The 3304-nt window shown below is 41.7% G+C and overlaps 1 annotated feature.

Moving 5' to 3' along the window:
• Positions 1916 to 2416: an enhancer, noted in NCBI's record as "H3K4me1 hESC enhancer chr11:128523817-128524317 (GRCh37/hg19 assembly coordinates)". NCBI's record gives its function as "activates a minimal SCP1, AML or CMV promoter by ChIP-STARR-seq in primed H9 embryonic stem cells {active_cell/tissue: H9 hESC(primed)}" and the evidence as "EXISTENCE:reporter gene assay evidence [ECO:0000049][PMID:30033119]".

Here is a 3304-nt window from a genome sequence, read left to right as displayed (position 1 = left end):
TAAATCTGAATCTCTGGGAGTTGGACCCAAGCACTGAGATATTTTAGAAAGCTCTCATGTGATTCTGACATGCACCCAAGACTGGCAATCACCAAGTTAGCAGGAGATGTGGGGTTGAAAATATACACAAACCGCAGGACGTGGTGGCTCACATCTGTAATTCCAGCACTTTGGGAGGCCAAGGCAGGTGGATCATTCAAGGTCAGGAGTTCGAGACCAGCCTGGCCAACCTGGTGAAACTCCATCTCTATTAAAAATACAAAAAAAGAAAGAAAGAAAGAAAGAAGGAAGGAAGGAAGGAAAGAAAGAAAGAAAGAAAGAAAGAAAGAAAGAAAGAAAGAAAGAAAGGAAGAAAGAAAGAGAAAAATTAGCCAGGCGGTAGTGGCGCATGCCTGTAATCCCAGCTACTGGGAAGGCTGAGACAGGATAATCACTTGAGCCTGGGAGGCGGAAGTTGCTGTGAGCCGAGATCATGCCACTGCACTTGAGTCTGGGCCACAGAGTGAGACATGGTCTGAAAAAAAAAATAAAAGAAAGAAAAAAAAAGAAAATTTACGAAAACACGTTTTAAGGATTGTAGAGATCTGAACATGCTTAATTGTTAACAGGAGAAATCTAGATGTGATAGTTGGTTTTTTAAAAAATTATTTTAATCTACATTTCGTTAATTATCCAAAGTGAAGAAAGTTGCTTTTTAAAGCATTTCCGACAGATGATATACATTTACACCATTTTTACTTTGCCACACACCCTTTTCCTTTTCCTTAGTTTTCAGTCTAGATAATGGTTCCAATATATTCATTTTTTACGCTCGGTATTTACTCTCTTAAAATCACTTCTGACATTTGCACTTAATTTTGTAACCATGGTTTAAAACAATTACTTAGGTTTAACGTTACATGGAATTTGTTTAAATGCTGCCTGCCAGGATGATGACACCTTGACACTCTCATATCTGGTTCTGAAACTCCTCACTCATTTGCTGTGTGTGTGCCAAAGGGGTACACAGCATTCTATTCTGAAGTCTTGCATAGTTGAGAATGTTTTCTTACTGTCTTCACAAGTGGAAGACAACATTGGTGAGCATATTATTTCCCTCTTATTTTCTGTTGCACTATAAGTAACGTGGTTTTCCTACCTGCATACTTCCAAGGTATTTTTCCTGTTATCCACATGCTTACAATAGAGTTCTGGAATGTGGCTACTTGTTGCTGATTTTGCCTAGGATATGGTGATGACTTTTGGTCTCAAAAACATTGCTTTCCCCTCAAAAGCGTGCAGCTGTGACTACAGTCATTGCTCTGGTTTCCATCGTTTTGGTTTATTTCTCTGGACGCCATCATGCTCACACTAGACCTTTATTCTTTGCCTTCTGTGTCTAGCATCTTTCCTCTGTTTGTTTTCACTTTGGCCCTTTCCTTTGCTTTCTAGAAGAACTTTTCAAGTCTATTTTCCAATTGCTGATTGTTTTTTCTGCAATTTCAATTCTACTTTTTCCTTCCAACATCTTAATTCTGCTATTATATTTTTTATTTGCTTGTTATCTTCCATTATCTTGCTCATATCTTTTCATCTTTTCTTTTTCTTTCTTTTCCTTTTTTTTTTTTTTTTTTTTGAGATGGAGTCTTACTCTGTCTCCCAGGCTGGAGTGCAGTGGCACGATCTCAGCTCACTGCAACCTCCACCTCATGGGTTCAAGTGATTCTCCGACCTCAGCCTCCCAAGTAGCTGGAGATACAGGTGCCTGCCGCTAAGCCCAGCTAATTTTTGTATTTTTAGTGGAGATGGCGTTTCACCATAATGGCCAGGCTGGTCTCAAACTCCTGACTTCAGGTGATCCGCCTGCCTCGGCCTCCCAAAGTGCTGGGATTACTGGCGTGAGGAGCCACCACGCCTTCTCTCTCTCTCTCTCTCTCTCTCTCTCTGTCTGTCTTTCTTTCTACCTCATATTCTGTTTTCTGCTTAGGTGTCCTATTACTATTTCAAAGATGCCATATCTCCTGACATCCTATTGAAATTACCTCTTTAGAGGTCTGATATTTCCAAGAGTCTTTAAGATGATGTGCCCTTTCTTTTTCCCTTTCTCTCTCTCTCTTGTTTTTTTATTGCATTTTTCCCCGTAAGACTCATTGCTAACCAAACACAATGGTTGCTAATATACACAGCATGTGGATTCCTGTGTGTCCTCTGGGTCCTGGAGCCTACGTTGAATCCTCTTTTCGTGTTAACAGGCACATGTCAGGTACACTCAGGGCTGAGTTAACTTCCCAGCGTCTGGCGGCTCTTCCTCCAGCTTAGTCTCCTGGCATGACAGGGCATTTTCATGCTGAAGTCTGGTGCCTACACCTCCCAGGAGGCAGTGCGCTGCTTCCGCCCGACTGTATTCCTGGCTTTTCAGGTTCTCATTAGTTGTGGAAGCAAGTCCTGATGAGGGTGTGAGGGACGGCTGGGGCACGGGCACCCTCTGGATTGAAGTGCCTGCACTGCAGAGGGAGAGCAGACTGGCATGGGAAGGTGACCAGCAGATTTGCTTCATCCCCCACGCTCTTGGCTGCTTTCGTCAGTCAAGTTCCATCAGACTCATGTTTGTGGGGAGTCTTCTCAGATTCTGTCAATATGCTTCATTTTTGGTGTTGGGAATTTTTGTCTTTTTCTGTCTTCAGAAGAATGTTAATGGAAGGGAGGCAGGGTCTTAAGTGGAGGGCTTAAACAGAGGCCGGATGCCATTTCTTGCCTTTATTTTAAGGTTTGAGTGGTGGTACCAGAGAAATAAATCTTAATCAATTAAGATAAAAGCATAAAGCTTTTGGCAAAGATGAGGAAATGGCAAGAGCCAGCCTTATGACAGGCAGCAGGTGGTTTGTGGGTGTGTAACCCTCCGGGTGGAATGAGCATTTCTTTTTGCTGCAGTCAGAAAGACTCTTACAATTCCAGACCCCTTCCACCCCCAGCTGCATAGATCTCTCCTTCCTTTGGGGATTCTGGGATTTCCTATGTCTCTTAAAAACTGTTCCTTATTTTCTATTAATACCAGGGTGTTTAAAATGTGCTTAAAAATTAGTGCTGCAGAGTCTATGGGATATTGCATCATAATAAGAAATATAGCCTGTAATCCCAGCACTTTGGGAGGCCGAGGCAGGAGGATTACTTAAGGCCAGAGAGTTTGCGACCAGACTGGGCCAAAAATGAAATGACAAATAATGATAATATTAAAAATTATATATATATATATATGTGTGTGTGTGTGTGTGTATATATATATATATATATATATTTGAGCTTTGTCGCTAGTTCCTGGCACAGA

This window comes from Homo sapiens, chromosome 11, assembly GCF_000001405.40.
Source record: "Homo sapiens chromosome 11, GRCh38.p14 Primary Assembly".
Lineage (NCBI taxonomy): Eukaryota > Metazoa > Chordata > Mammalia > Primates > Hominidae > Homo > Homo sapiens.
This window is presented reverse-complemented; position numbering and strand designations above follow the sequence as displayed.